Genomic DNA, 14,420 nt, shown 5'->3' with positions numbered 1-14,420 from the left:
GAAGATCAAACCAGCCACACCATTCCCTTAAGCCAAAGTCTAATCCACAGCAAGACCCTAACACTCCAATTCTGTGAAGGCTTAAAGAGGTGAGGAAACTGCAGAAGAAAAGTTGGGGCTGGGTGTGGTGGCTCACGCCTGTAATCCCAGCACTTTGTGAGTCTGAGGTGGGCGGATCATCAGGTCAGGAGTTCAAGACCAGCCTGACCAACATGGTGAAACCCCACCTCTACTAAAAATACAAAAAAATTAGCCGGGCATGGTGGCATGCACCTGTAATCTCAGCTACTCAGGAGGTTGAGGCAGGAGAATCACTTGAACCCGGGAGGCAGAGGTTGCAATAAGCCGAGATTGTGTCACTGTATTCCAGCTTGGGCAACAGAGCGAGACTCCATCTCAAAAAAAAAAAAAAAAAAAAAGAAAAGTTGGAAGTTAGCAGAGGTTGGTTCATAAGGTTTAAGGACAGAAGCCATCTCCATAATATAAAAGTGCAAGGTGAAGCAGCAAGTGCCCATGTAGAAGCTGCAGCAAGTTATCCAGAAGATCTAGCTAAAATCTAGCTAAAATGATGAAGGTGGATACTCTAAACAACAGATTTTTAATGTAGATGAAACAACCTTCTATTAAGATGTCATCTAGGACTTTCATAGTTACAGAGGAGAAGTCAATGCCTGGCTTCAAAGCTTCAAAGAACAGGCTGACTCTTGTTAAGGGCTAATGTAGCTGGTGACTTTAAGTTGAAGCCAACACTGGATTACCATTTTGAAAATCAGAGAGCTCTTAAGAATTATGCCAAATCTACTCTGCCTGTGCTCTACAAATGGAGCAACAAAGCCTGGAGGACGGCACATCTGTTTACAGCATGGTTTACTGAATATTTTAAGCCCAGTATTAAGACCTACTGCTCAGGATAAAAAGTTTTCTCTCAAAATATTACCTCTCATTGACAATGTACCTGGTTCCCCAAGAACTCTGATGGAGATTTAAAAGGAAATTAATGCTGTTTTCATGCCTGCTAACACAACATCCATTCTGTAGCCCATGGGTCAAGGAGTTATTTCGACTTTCAAATCTTATTATTTAAGAAATATATTTTGAAGCTGGGCACAGTGGCTCATGCCTGTAATCTGAGCACTTTGGGAGGCCAAGGCGGGCAAATCACTTGAGGTCAGGAGTTCGAGACCAGCCTGGCCAACATGGTGAAACCCTGACTTTACTAAAAAAAAAATACAAAAATTAGCCTGGTGTGGTGTCACTACTTGGGAAGCTGAGGCAGGAGAATCACTTGAACCTGGGAGGTGGAGGCAGCAGTGATCTGAGATCATACCACTGCACTTCAGCCTGGGCAACAGAGTGAGACTCCATCTTAAAAAATAAAATAAAATGAAATAAAATAAAATAAAGAAATATATTTTGTAAAGTTATAGCTGCCATAGATAGTGATTTCTCTGATGGATCTGGGCAAGGTAAATTGAAAACCTCCCAGAAAGGATTCACCATTCAAAATGCCATTAAGAACACTGGTGATTCATAGGAGGAGGTCAAAATATAACATTAACAGGGGTTTGGAAGAAGCTGATTCCAACCCTCATAGATGACTTTAAGGGGTTCAAGACTTCAGTGGAGGAAGTAACTGCAGATGTGGTGAAAACAGCAAGATAACTAGAATTAGAAGCGGAACCCGAAGATGCGACTGAATTGCTCCAATCTCATGATAAAAGTTGAACAGATGAAGAGTTGTTTCTAATGAGTGAGCAAAGAAAGTGGTTTCTTGAGATGGAATTTATTCCTGGTGAAGATGCTATGAACATTGTTGAAATGACAACAAAGGATTTAGAATATTACATAAACTTAGTTGATAGCAGGGTTTGAAAGGATTCCAATTTTGAAAGAAGTTCTTCTGTGAGTAAAATGCTACCGAACAGCATCTCATGCTACAGAGAAATCTGTCATGAAAGGAAGAGTTAGTTGATGCAGCAGACTTCATTGTCATCTTATTTCAAGAAATTGTCACAGTCACTGCAACTCAGCAACCACTACCCTGATCAGTCAGCAGCCATCCATATCAAGGCAAGATGCTCCACGAGCAAAAGGATTATGACTTGCTGAAGGCTCTGATGATTGCTACCATTTTTCCGCAAGTAAATATTTTAAAATTAAGCTGTGCACATTTTTTTAGACATAACGCTATCACACACTTAATGGACTACAGTATAAACATAATTTTTAGATGCACCGGGAAACAAAAAAATTCATGTGACTCACTCTATTGTGGTTTTAGCTTTATTGTGTTAGTCTGGAACCAAAACTGCCTTATCTCTGTGATATGCCTGTATACAAATACCATTGTGTTACGATTGCCTACAGCACTCAGTACAGTAACATGCTGTACAGGTTTACAGCCTGGGGCAATAGGCTAAACCACATAGCCTAGGTGTATACGAGGCTACACCATCTAGGTTTGTGCAAGTACACTGCATGACGTTCACACAGCAAAACTGTCTAATGATGCATTTCTCAGAATCTACCCCAGTTGTTAAGTGACCCGTGACTGTCCTGTCCTATAAATGACTATCATTGCAATTACTCTGGAAAAATTATAAAACAATTCATCAGTCTCAGTCAGAACACCAGCCCCGACAGCAACCGCTAAAGGGAACATGACAGAAAGTGAAGTGGAAGAAAAGAGATGACATTTGGACATGCCTGTTGGATGCTAGGGAAATACAATCTCCTGAATCTAAGCTCGCAACAGCCAAGGAGGTGTAATTGGCTCCACGTGATCAAAGGAAGCCCAGGCTCTCATCCTGCAAAAAGTGAGGAGCTGGCCCGGCTCAGTGGCTCACGCCTATAATCCCAGCACTCTGGGAGGCCGAGGCAGAGGATCACTTGAGCCCAGGAGTTTGAGAACAGCCTGGACAACGTGGTGAGTCCTTGTCTCTACAAAAAATAAAAAAATTATTTGGGTATGGTGGCATGCGCCTGTAGTCCCAGCTACTCAGTAGGCTAAGGAGGGAAGCTCGCTTGAGCCTGGGAGGTGGAGGCTGCAGTGAGACGTGATTGCACCACTGCACTCCAGCCTGGGCAACAGAGTGACACTGTCTCAAAAAATTTAATTTAATTTAATTTAAAAATTTATAAAATAAAATAAAAAAGTGAGGAGCTATCTGATTGGTCCCCCAAGACATCTTCTGGTGCCAAAACCAATTTGGTTGCTCCCAGAAGTGATGATGAAAGTGATGGTGATAAAAATAACAACAGCCAACATTTATTAAGTACACAGGGGTCAGGCGTGGAGAGCCTAAGAAATCTGCCCAACTGAACTCAGATCTGTTTGACTTCATAGTCTAAGGTAGCACATCACATCTCACAGCATTCTTAGTGATACCTAGAAAAATCCCTTGCAAAAAGTAGATAGAGATCATTGGGATCATGCTATTTTTTCACTTAATATACCACAAATATTTGTCAATCAACCATTTCTTCACGGCTGCTTAACATCCCATCATTTGGAAAATCCAGCGGTCATTTCATTAAGGGGGTTTTCTCACATGTGGCCATATTTTTTTTCCTCCCTACCTTCTTTCTTCCCTTCCGCCTTCCTTCTTTCCAACTCAAGTCCAGCTAATTAAAAAAAAAAATTGTAGAGACAAGAGGCTGCTATGTTGCCCAGGCTGGTCTTGAACTCCTGGCCTCAAATGATTATCCTACCTTGGCCCCCCAAAGTACTGGGATTACTGGCCCATTTCCTTCTTTTAAACTAATGCATCAATTGTCCAGCATGTGCAGTATTTCAAAAGTTGTTTTGCAATAACATCTTTTTCACTAGGTTTTTTTTTTTTTTGAGATGGAGTCTCACTCTGTCACCCAGGCTGGAGTGCAATGGTGCAATCTCAGCTTGCTGCAATCTCTGCCTCCTGGGTTCAAGTGATTCTCCTGCCTCAGCCTTCTGAGTAGCTGGGACTACAGGTATGCACCACCATACCCGGCTAATTTTGTATTTTTAGTAAAGATGGGGTTTTGCCATGTTGGTAAGGCTGGTCTCGAACTCCTGATCTCAGGTGATCCACCCACCTCGGCCTCCCAAAGTGCTGGGATTACGGGCATGAGCCACCGCGCCTGGCCTTCACTAGGTTATTTTTATTGCATGTACAAATACTTCTCCCCGCATTAAATAGGTAATATGACCCATTCCTCATATTTACATCTAATTGTTTTGGATGTTTTTATATTAAAATCACCAGTACATCCTCTGAAGTGCCCCCGGCTCTGGACGCCCTGCCCCAATGCACGCAAACAACAGAGAGTTTGTGCTGTGCAATTGCTCATGCTAAACTCTAAACAACTCTTTTGTAGAGCCACATGAGGCAATCACATCTTTAGGGATCAAATATCTTCCCCAAGGACACGGCCAGCACATATTTTGTTTTCTCCAGCACATGCCATACTCACTCTGTAGTTCCACGCGGGGGAGACCTGGAACCCAGGTGTGGATACCCTCATGAAGTCACTTCATGAAGTCATTGGGATCGCTAACATAAAAGATAAACATGCAAAGCCAAGTGCCTCGACTATAATGGCAAAAAGGCATGGCATGGGCTGGGTGTGGTAGCTCACGCCTGTAATCCCAGCTCTTTGGGAGACTGAGGCAGGTGGATCACTTGAGGCCAGGAGTTCAAGACCAGCTCGGCCAACATGGTGAAACCCCATCTCTGCTAGAAGTACAAAAATCAGTTGGGCACGGTGGCATGTGCTTGTAGTCCCAGCTACTCAGGAGGCTGAGGCAGGAGAATCGCTTGAACCCAGGAGGTGGAGGCTGCAGTGAGCAGAGGTCGTACCACTGCACTCCAGCCTTGGTGACAGAGTGAGACCCTGTCTCAAAGAAAAAAAAAAAAAAAGGCTGGGCGCGGTGGCTCACGCCTGTAATCCCAGCACTTTGGGAAGCCAAGGCGGGTGGATCACGAGGTCAGGAGATCAAGACCATCCTGGGTAACACGGTGAAACAGTGTCTCTACTAAAAAAAATTAGCCGGGCGTGGTGGCGGGCGCCTGTAGTCCCAGCTACTCGGGAGGCTGAGGCAGGAGAATGGCGTGAACCCGGGAGGCGGAGGTTGCAGTGAGATGAGATCGCGCTACTGCACTCCAGCCTGGGCAACAGAGCGAGACTCCGTCTCAAAAAAAAAAAAAAGAAAAACAAACAAACAAACCCAAAAGCACAGCACAGAACAAGAAAAACTACAGGGAGACAGACAGACAGAGAAGAAATTTAATTTTCCACAGTAAAATCTCCGTGGCTATTCAGACTGAGTAGAGACAGCACAGAAAGCAAATGATAAAGCCAATCAGTACTAGAAAATGCACATCAGGAAAAAAATTAATTATAGAGTATGCCCTCCTTCAATCCTTGGGACAGCTGACAGTACTGGACTATGGACTGTAAATTAGATACAAGTATTTTATGAATGTAAAAGTTCCTGAGCTTCTCACTGTACTATGTGATGTAAGAGATTATCCTTGTTCTTGTGAAATACACAGTGAAATATTACAGCACAAAGGGCATGAGAGAGAGAGAGGAAGGGAGAGAATGTGACCAACATTAAAAATTGGTGAACCTGGGCCGGGCGTGGTGGCTCACGCCTGTAATCCCAGCACTTCGGGAAGCCGAGGTGGGTGGATCATGAGGTCAGGAGATAGTGACCATCCTGGCTAACACGGTGAAACCCCGTCTCTACTAAAAATACAAAAAATTAGCTGGGCATGGTGGTGGGAGCCTGTACTCCCATCTACTCGGGAGGCTGAGGCAGGAGAATGGCGTGAACCCGAGAGGCAGAGGTTGCAGTGAGCCGAGATCGCGCCACTGCACTCCAGCCTGGGTGACAGAGCGAGACTCCGTCTCATAAAAAAAAAAAAAAAAAAAAAAATTGGTGAATCTGATTGTAGGCTATTTGGAAATTCTTTGTATTCTACTTAAAATTTTGAAATGTTCTGTTAGTCTGGAATTATTTTGAACTAAAAGTTAAAAAACAAAAGCCAGCAATGCACAGACGAGGACTATCTTATTCACCTTTCTACTTCTTCTCTGATGTAGCAGGCCTTGGGGATTTTTGTGAAATGACAGCTGGATCTGGGAAGAAATTTCCTCCTGCCTCACTGAAGGACTTGTCTATCTTCGTATGTTTCTGAGTCACACAGAAAGCAGGTGTGTTGGCTTGTCAGCCTTGGGCCTCCTGCTGCTGTTTGCGCCTGGCCTAAAGGTGTGTCACCTGCAGTCCAGCATGTGGCGTATGGTGGCAGGCTGCCAAGGGAGTGCTGGCACTGACTTCCTTCACCAGGCGTAGGGAAACACTGACAGGCAGGAGAGGTAGAGGGCGTTCAGATCACCACTGAGATGACCGTCTAGGGTGACACTCACTCTTCCTTCACAGCCCCTGCTGTTGTCCGAGAATGGGGTTTTTAACAGTCAGTAGCTGTCTTACTTTTAATTTCAGGATGGAACCACGGAGAAACTGAGCACTCATTATGCAAATTATGTGCATCGCGCATGGCACTGGGGCATGATGTTATAATCCATTGGAGGGGAACAGGTGATATATGGTAGCAAGGGGCTTCCTGACCGCTTTGCATATCTCAGTTTCTTGGGTAGCATCCACTCAACATTGCTGACTTCCAGCAATACTACTCATACCTAGAGATGACAGCAGTGGTATTTTTCTTTTAAAATATATCAACTGTGACAAACAAGCTGGGATGGGCACAGCATGAGGTTACCACTATGGCTGATTATATCTACATACGCATGATAAAATGTCTGTATCTGCCAGCAGCCCTGTGATTAACAGTCAAATCGTCAACCATCACAACTAGAAAACCTAAAAGAGAAAAGGTGGCCACGAGAATTTCCCAGACAGCAAAAGGCTGGCAGGGAGGCTCCCTGAGGGTTGTCACAGTCACACGGTGACCGTAGTCAGACTCCCTTCCTCCTGTGGCCCAACCCAGTGACCAGCCCAGGGCTGGCTCCTCCGGTGCGTTCCTGCCAATAGTGAGGCCAGACCCACCTTAGGTACTGAGCTGTGAAAGTCAGGTTCCCTTTGGCAAAAGCAGGTGACTCCCACTGTAGAATGTTCTTGAAATTAACAGAATTCATTCTGACATTTTCGGGAGGTGGTACCATTCCCAATGCTATGAAAATAAGACAAAAACATTTACAACTTTTCTCCTCAAAACAGATGCCCATGAAAAAGCCCACATCCAGCACTTGGTTCTCCTCTATGGCTCCATGTCTTCAAAGGCCACGTGGGTGAGGGAGGGAGAGACAGGTTGGCTGTGCTGAGGAGTCTAGATTTTCTTTGAACAGCCGTGAGGAGAAATTTCTGGAGGGGCAGGAGTAAAATGGGGACAGACAAAGGAGCCTTGGATTTGTCTGGTGGCAGAAAGCTATGAGGGGGTAGGGTGGGCACATGGATTTCAGATATATTTCCAGACGTAAAAACAAACTGGAGACTTCCTGATACATTTGATGCATAAAAGCTGAGGTCAATGTCCATTTTGGGCTTAAGCAGCTGGTGCCCCGATTGGAGCTCAGCTGGGGAACTCACGAGTCCCATTTGAGCTGCATTAGGTTGGAGATGCTGGAGAGAGGCTGAAGTAGGAATGTCAGGGAGACAGCCAGATGAATGAGCCCAGAGGTCACACCAAGAAGAGATGTGGGCTAGAGACAGAAATTATTTTCAAACCTTTTAATAGAAAATTCGAAACCTGGCCAGGCATGGTGGCTCGCGCCTGTAATCCCAGCTCTTTGGGAGGCTGAGGAAGGTGAATCACCTGAGGTCAGGAGTTCGAGACCAGCCTGGCCAACATGGCGAAACCCCATCTCCAATAAAAATACAAAAATTAGCCAGGCGTAGTGGCACACACCTGTAATTCCAGCTACTCGGGAGGCTGAGGGAGGAAAATCGCTTGAACCCGGGAGGCGGAGGTGGCAGTGAGGCAAGATCAAGCCACTGCACTCCAGCCTGGGCCACAGCAACAGAGCAAAACCCTGTCTCAAAAAAAAACAAAAAAACAAAAAAACAAACAAACAAAAAAAAAAACGGAAGAAGAAAGAAAGAAAAGAAAATTTGAAACCTACATGCAAGTAGAAAAGTAGAAGACTATAATAAACCACCACCCATCACCCAACTGGTACCAAGAGAGATATAAATGTGCGAGTCATGGGCCTATAGCCCGTGTTTAATGCCAGGGTTTGGCTGAAATCCCCCAAAGGAACAGTGCCAGGGAAGGAGAGAAAAGGCCTTGGGCATCACAATTAGCTACATAGAAACCTGACAGAGCAGGAGGGTCCCAAGCAGAGACAGCCTGACAGGGCGGGAAACCGGAGGGGTATCCCGGAAGGCCAGGGAAGAGTTCATGAGAAAGGAAGGAGGTGACCATGGTGTTATTGGAACCTAGGCAGTCAATTTAGAGGACAGAAAAGGTTTCAATGGATTTAGGTTTAGAAGCCATGGAGCTGGGGCGCTGGGGGACAGAATCCAGATTTCAGGGTGCTCGGGCCTGAACCGGAAGGAGGGGAGGTGCAGCGGGTGATGGGAGGCACATCTGTAGGGAGGGCTGGCACTGAGGGGGCAGACTTGGGGTCAGGGAGGGCTGTCAGGGCACTCGGGGACTGGTGGGGGCCTCCACTTGAACTGATAGTCTCCAGAAGGGTCAGATGACAGCCACGGTGGGATCTTGGGTCTTTTGGGGAAGCTACTTTATTTAGACGCCCGCCAGCAGAGAGCTGCAGGAGGACAGGGAATCAAAAGACGCCGGGAGTCTCCCCCTGAGTTTAGGGCCCAGACGGTCTGTAATCCGGGCGCGGATGGGGCTTTCTCCTGTTACAGAATCGACGGCAGCAGCAGCCTAGTTGCGTCTCAGCAGCCGGCCGTGGCGTTTGCATCTTCTCTCCCGAGGCCCCGAAGGCTCTTAAGTCACTTGCAGGGCGCCCAGGGATGGGATCAGGGGCGGCATCTCGCGGGGCCTCCCGGTTCCCAAGCGCGCCCCCTCCCCGCGGACCCCTCACCTGACACCAGCAGGCAGCCACCCAGCCAGCTCCCAAGGCTCCACGCCATGGACGGACGCTGGGGGTTCCGCGGCTTCCTCCAAGCACACGACCCCCGCCCGCGCCCGGGAGAGCTTGTCCGCGGCGGCTTCCGGGAACCAGCGGAGATGGGCGGGGCGGGGTGGGGAGGGGCCGGGCGACCGGGCTCCCACCCCGCTGCAGGCCCCGCCCACCAGCCCGGGTCCACCCGCGAGGCGCGGGGCACAGGCTTGGCAGATGCACACGAGGAAGAGGAAGGGATCCTCGCAAGCTTTGAAAGGCGCCGTCAAGTCAAATAAATAAATGCCCTACAACACCAACCCAGGACTGAGATCTGCATGCTGGAATGACGGTGGTGGTGGTGGCTTTCAGTATTCCCCAGGTTTTGTCCGGAGCACCGGCACGCCCTCTCTTGAAGTCCGCTCTCCGCACAGGTGAGTTAAAAGCACTTCAGCAGCAAATCCAGTTTGAGGGTCTTCTTTACCCTTCTCCCCAGGGATAAACAACACAAAACCAAGTCATCTTTACGCAAATAACTAGTTTCTTTCAGAGACTACTAAGAAAGCGTTAATTTCCTCTTTTTAACTTGATTAGTGGTTAGACGGGAAGATCCGGAGCTGTCCAGTGTCTTGGGTAATGCACGGCATCGCCTGATGTCTGACGCTAGAACACCACGTAAAGTCAAGCAGAGGGAAGTGAATGCGCCCTAGGCCCCTGCAGGCCACCAAGAAGAGCTAGAGGGAGTTGGTGCAATCCTAGAGATGCCGGCAGGTGCACCAATCTGTGGCACACGTACGCTCTCCAATGGAAGACAACTCAAGACCACACCAAGTTTGTATTAAAAAAGTACTGTTGTGTTACTTTTTACCAACCTCCAATCATTATACAAAATGTTAAAAAATACACAAACACACACACACACTCACAGCCATAGAGGTTATCGCAAAAGATCAACCCAGAATCTTTCAGAATATGACAGATGCACTGAGAAGGCAGATAAATTGATTCAATATACAAAAGGCCTCTTTCCTATGGAATTTCATTAGATTAAATAAGGTGTTCCCTCCTCACAGCCTCATCCTTATGAGCAATCATATAAATAATCTATTTAAAGTCCTTGAACTATAACTTGTATAATTTTTAGTTTTCCCCCTTTGAAGGGGCCTAAGAGAAAGGTTTGAGAAACCAGCTCTTGAGGGGGGCAGGGGTGAGGGGTAAGAGGTCCTGTGCCTTTCATTCATCCTGGGAGCTTCTCAGGATTGCAGCATTTCCACCTGAGTGTTCATTCTTGTACATTTTCTCATCTTTCTCCTGGGTTCCTAGGATCTTGGAGATTACCTAGTCCAATCCTTTTACTTCAGAAACAAAAAACCTGAGGCTCAGAAAGGCTAAGTCAAATGCCTAGGGTCACACAGGGAAACTGTGGGAGTTGGATCCCTGAGTCCCAGTCCTTAAACTGGTTGCTACATGACATTCTAGAACCTCTCCCCACCAACTCCCTTTTTAAAGACAGGGTCTGGTTCTGTCACCCAGGCTGAAGTGCAGTGACATGATCTTGGCTCACTGCAACCTCCGCTTCCTGGGCTCAAGCCATTCTCCCACCTCAGCCTCCCAAGTAGCTGGGACAACAGGCACATGCCACTACGCCCAGTTAATTTTTCTAATTTTGTTTTGTAGAGACAGATTTGCCATGTTGCCCAGGCTGGTCTCGAATTACTGGCCTCAAGCGATACGCCTGTTTAGGCATCCCAAAGTGCTGGGGTTACCGGCAGGAGCAATTGCTCCGGGCCAGACTTCCCTTCCCCCGCCCACACCCCCCCAACCCGGCCTAGATCCACAGGCACTGTAATCACAGCTGACACACTCGACTCGGAATCAGCATAGAGAGCACTCTGAAAATTGTCAAATAGGGTCCCTGAAACTTGTATACCATACTTCTCCTGAAGATCTTGAAGCATCTTTGTGTTTGCTTTTTTTTTTTTTAACTTAAAATATGGCATTCAGGTTTTATCCCTCTCCCCGACGCCATGTTTCCTTTCTGTATTAGTCACACACGTGATCCTAAAGTCTGTCTTCCCCACTTTAACTGGGGAGGGCTGGACAAGGTGGAATTCCAATTGCAGGAGACAGGATGTGACATGGGTGAGGTGCCCAAGGCTCACCGACTGAAACTTCGATGGCTCTTCCCTGTTTCCTTGTGCAGGGCCCCCCTTCTCTCCACTGCTCACCTGGCTCTCCTCCTCCCTTCCTGCCTGCTTTGCAGCTCTTGCTACTATTTTCCTTTTCTTTCCCTGCTCCCACCCTGGCCCAATTTATTTCACAGAAATATCACAGGGCCAGCCAGGCACAGCGGCTCACCCCTGTAATCCCAGCACTTTACGAGGCTGAGGAGGGCAGATCACTTGAGGTCAGGAGTTTGAGACCAGCCTGGCCAACATGGTAAAATCCTGTCTCTACTAAAAATACAAAAATTTGCTAGGCATGGTGGCAGGCGCCTGTAATCCCAGCTACTTGCGAGGGAGGCTGAGGCAGGAGAATCACTTGAACCTGGGAGGCGGATGTTGCAGTGAGCCAAGATCACACCATTGCGCTCCAGCTTGGGCGACAGAACGAGACTCTGTCTCAAAAAAAAAAAAAAAAAAGAACGAAAGAAGAGAAATATCATAGGGTCCTGGACCACCTCTGAAACTGTGGGGAACCCTGCTCCCTGGTAGACATGATGCAGAAACATCCTAAGTGCATTAGTGTAAAGGAAAGGTGCACATGTGCTTCCTTCAAAGTGCACCACTTTGAATATGTAAACAATGCACTGAATGATACTATGGTCCCCATACTGGGAATGTGCATAGGTGATGTCACCTGGAAGAAAGGAACACCACAGTTTCCTCCTCCTTCCCTTGGAGAACACTTGCAGACGATAAGGCAGCAAGTTAGGATGCAGAGACAAAGAACCCTGTAGGTGCTTGTCTGTCCAAGTTCATTCAATAGTTTTGGAGTCATCTCATTATATAACCATCCCCAAGGTCAACATCTGACTCAGAAGTGTCACTTTGATCAGATGGAGCATCTTCGGACCACAGGCCCTCTGAAGAGGGGCTGGGAAAGGTTGGCTGTGTCCCTTCCCCGCTGGCCAGCAAATGGTTTGATTGCACATTATCAGGATCCTCTGGGTCAACCATCTCTTCCAGATGAGACGATAGCATCAGAGGGGCTTCTAAGTCGTCACTGTCCTCGTCATCAAGAACTCTCAAAAACACAGAGTTTAAGTCCACATTGAAGGTAATTCTGCCCCCAGACCCCTCCGTGGAGCTGTAGTCCTCTTCGGGAAAAGGGTCCTGGAGTGGACTCTTTCTCCTCTCACAGGGCCCACTCAAGAGTTCCAACTGCTGAGGGCTGTCCTTTGGCATCGTGGGGAGCTCCACATCAACCTCAGGCAGGTCAGGCTCCTCCTCGGACTCCGGGTCTATCAACTGGGATTCTGTAGAGGTGGCAGAGGCCTGACCCAGAGGCCTGACAGTCAGTCCATGCATGGTATAGCCACCGCCACTTGTCCTGGGCGCTGCCTCAGTATCGCTATCACTTTCATCATCATAATTATAATCCCACACTTTCTTCTTTCTGTTGATGTAAATGACCTCCACCATATCCATGGCTTCCAACGGTGGCAGGTTAGGAAATGGCCAGGCTAAAAAGTTATGAAAATTCTTAAAAAAAAAAAAAAAGAGAGAGAGAGTCCGTATCAGCTGTACTGTTTGCTCTTTATTTTCTACATAATAAAACTTAATCACTGGGGCACAGGGATGCACGCTTGTAATCCCAGCTACTGGGGAAGCTTAGGCAGGACGACTGTTTGAGCTCAGGAGTTTCAGACTGTAGTGCATTATGACTGCACCTGTGAATAGCCACTGCATTCCAGCCCTTAGCGAGACCTTGCCTCTAAAAAAATAAAAAATAAACTTAATGAGATTGAATGATGATGCAGTTGATGATGATGACAGCAATAATAACAGCTAACAGTTACACCATGCTTACTATATGCTGGGCATGACTCTTGGTGCTTTATATATAATTTACCTTTCCCTTGCAACTGCTCTATGAGGTATGCTTACTATTTTTTTTTTTTTTTTTTTTTGAGACGGGAGTCTCGCTCTGTTGCCCAGGCTGGAGTGCAGTAGTGCGGTCTTGGCTCACTGCAACCTCCACCTCCCAGGTTCAAGCAATTCTCTGCCTCAGCCTCCTGAGTAGCTGGGATTACAGGCGCCCGCCACTATGCCCGGCAAATTTTTGTATTTTTAGTAGAGAAGGGGTTTCACCATGTTGGCCAGGCTGGTCTTGAACTCCCGACCTCGTGATCTACCTGCCTTGGCCTCCCGAAGTGCTGGGTTTATAGGCGTGGCCACCGCGCCTGGCCAGGCTTACTATTCTTATGCCCACTTTACAGATGAGAAAATGAGGTGCAGAAGTTAAGAAACTTGCTCAAGGTTTGTGACTAGTGAGTGGGAGCAGCTGCCTTTCAAACCAGGCAGGCTGCTGGCCACATAGACTATGTTCTGACTTACTCCTCTTAACTTCCTCTCCTTTGGCTGCTTCTTTATATTTTTAAGATATTTATATATTTTTAGAGCTAGGGTCTCACTCTGTAACCGAGGCTGGAGTGCAGTGGCGCAATCACAGCTCACTGCAGCCTCCACCTCCTGGGCTCAAGCAATCCTCTCACCACATCCTCCTGAGTAGCTGAGACCACAGGCATGTGCCAGCATGCCTGGCTAATTTATTTTTATTTTCTCTAAGACAAGGTTTCCTTATATTGCCCAGGCTGGTCTCAAACTCCTGGGCTCAAATGATCCACCCGCCTCAGCCTCCCAAAGTGCTGAGATTACAGGCGTGAGCCACTGTGCCTAGTCCTTTTTAAATCTTTTTATAGGATAAATCCACTTTGTGTATATGTTCCACTGACATAATCCAAAACAAAAAGACGATCCATATAAAAATGTTTATTGTACTATTCATCATCACCAAAGAAAAGAAAAGGAAAAGAAATCCAAATGCCCTTTAGCTGAGAAATGGTTAAATGAAAAATGGTATGTTAATAATAATGAAATTCTACCTGATCATTATAAATTATGTGATGAAGTATAAAAACAAAACAAAACAAAACATTGCTGAGTGCAGTGGCTCACACCTGTAATCCCAGAACTTTGGGAGGCCAAGGCAGGTGGATCACTTGAAGTCAGGAGTTCAAGACCAGCCTGGCCAACATAGCAAAACCCCATCTCTACTAAAAATGCAAAAATTAGCCAGGTGTGGTAGCACACGCCTGTAGTCCCAGCTACTTGAGAGGCTGA

The 14,420-nt window shown here is 46.9% G+C and overlaps 3 protein-coding genes and 1 long non-coding RNA gene across 15 annotated transcripts in view, besides 5 other annotated features; 1 reads left to right on the top strand and 3 right to left on the bottom strand.

Annotated features, from left to right (window-relative positions):
* Nucleotides 1-9,205, bottom strand: part of IL10RB (interleukin 10 receptor subunit beta) — a 43,816-nt gene extending 34,611 nt beyond the window's left edge. For all 5 annotated transcript variants that reach the window (NR_175973.1, NM_001405849.1, NM_001405850.1 and 2 more), the window contains exons 1-2: nt 9,058-9,205; nt 7,055-7,178 (exon numbers count right to left, since the gene is read on the bottom strand). Coding sequence is in view for 4 of the 5 variants with exons in the window: in NM_001405849.1 (NP_001392778.1) it covers nt 7,055-7,178; nt 9,058-9,106 (173 nt within the window). In the remaining variant the exon portion in view is untranslated. The remainder of the gene's footprint in view (nt 1-7,054; nt 7,179-9,057) is intronic.
* The window catches only part of IFNAR2-IL10RB (IFNAR2-IL10RB readthrough), a 67,284-nt gene that overhangs the window by 21,650 nt on the left and 31,214 nt on the right, over nt 1-14,420 (bottom strand). The window contains exon 8 of the mRNA NM_001414505.1: nt 7,055-7,178. Within this exon, the coding sequence (NP_001401434.1) occupies nt 7,055-7,178 (124 nt within the window). The remainder of the gene's footprint in view (nt 1-7,054; nt 7,179-14,420) is intronic.
* Nucleotides 6,630-6,679: an enhancer, noted in NCBI's record as "active region_18374". NCBI's record gives its function as "activates an Ori minimal core promoter by ATAC-STARR-seq in GM12878 lymphoblastoid cells {active_cell/tissue: GM12878}" and the evidence as "EXISTENCE:reporter gene assay evidence [ECO:0000049][PMID:35858748]".
* Nucleotides 6,690-6,839: an enhancer, noted in NCBI's record as "active region_18373". NCBI's record gives its function as "activates an Ori minimal core promoter by ATAC-STARR-seq in GM12878 lymphoblastoid cells {active_cell/tissue: GM12878}" and the evidence as "EXISTENCE:reporter gene assay evidence [ECO:0000049][PMID:35858748]".
* Nucleotides 8,950-9,359: a silencer, noted in NCBI's record as "silent region_13254". NCBI's record gives its function as "represses an Ori minimal core promoter by ATAC-STARR-seq in GM12878 lymphoblastoid cells {active_cell/tissue: GM12878}" and the evidence as "EXISTENCE:reporter gene assay evidence [ECO:0000049][PMID:35858748]".
* IL10RB-DT (IL10RB divergent transcript) lies at nt 9,312-9,940 on the top strand. Its single transcript, NR_038974.1, has 2 exons — nt 9,312-9,509; nt 9,670-9,940. It is a non-coding gene; the product is annotated as an IL10RB divergent transcript (long non-coding RNA).
* Nucleotides 9,530-9,599: an enhancer, noted in NCBI's record as "active region_18372". NCBI's record gives its function as "activates an Ori minimal core promoter by ATAC-STARR-seq in GM12878 lymphoblastoid cells {active_cell/tissue: GM12878}" and the evidence as "EXISTENCE:reporter gene assay evidence [ECO:0000049][PMID:35858748]".
* Nucleotides 9,630-9,689: an enhancer, noted in NCBI's record as "active region_18371". NCBI's record gives its function as "activates an Ori minimal core promoter by ATAC-STARR-seq in GM12878 lymphoblastoid cells {active_cell/tissue: GM12878}" and the evidence as "EXISTENCE:reporter gene assay evidence [ECO:0000049][PMID:35858748]".
* IFNAR2 (interferon alpha and beta receptor subunit 2) overlaps nt 9,908-14,420 on the bottom strand; it is a 35,727-nt gene continuing 31,214 nt past the window's right edge. For 4 of the 8 annotated variants that reach the window (NM_001289125.3, NM_001289128.2, NM_207585.3 and 1 more), the window contains one exon: nt 9,908-12,779. In NM_001289125.3, coding sequence (NP_001276054.1) covers nt 12,072-12,779 — 708 coding nt within the window. In that variant the 3' untranslated portion in view covers nt 9,908-12,071. Of the gene's footprint in view, nt 13,012-14,420 lie in introns of all 8 variants that reach the window. The other 4 variants (NM_000874.5, NM_207584.3, NM_001385054.1 and 1 more) reach the window with 2 other exon arrangements.

The sequence above is a fragment of the Homo sapiens genome, chromosome 21, assembly GCF_000001405.40.
Source record: "Homo sapiens chromosome 21, GRCh38.p14 Primary Assembly".
Lineage (NCBI taxonomy): Eukaryota > Metazoa > Chordata > Mammalia > Primates > Hominidae > Homo > Homo sapiens.
The sequence above is the reverse complement of the archived record's forward strand: the minus strand, read 5'-3'. Positions and strand labels throughout refer to the sequence as shown.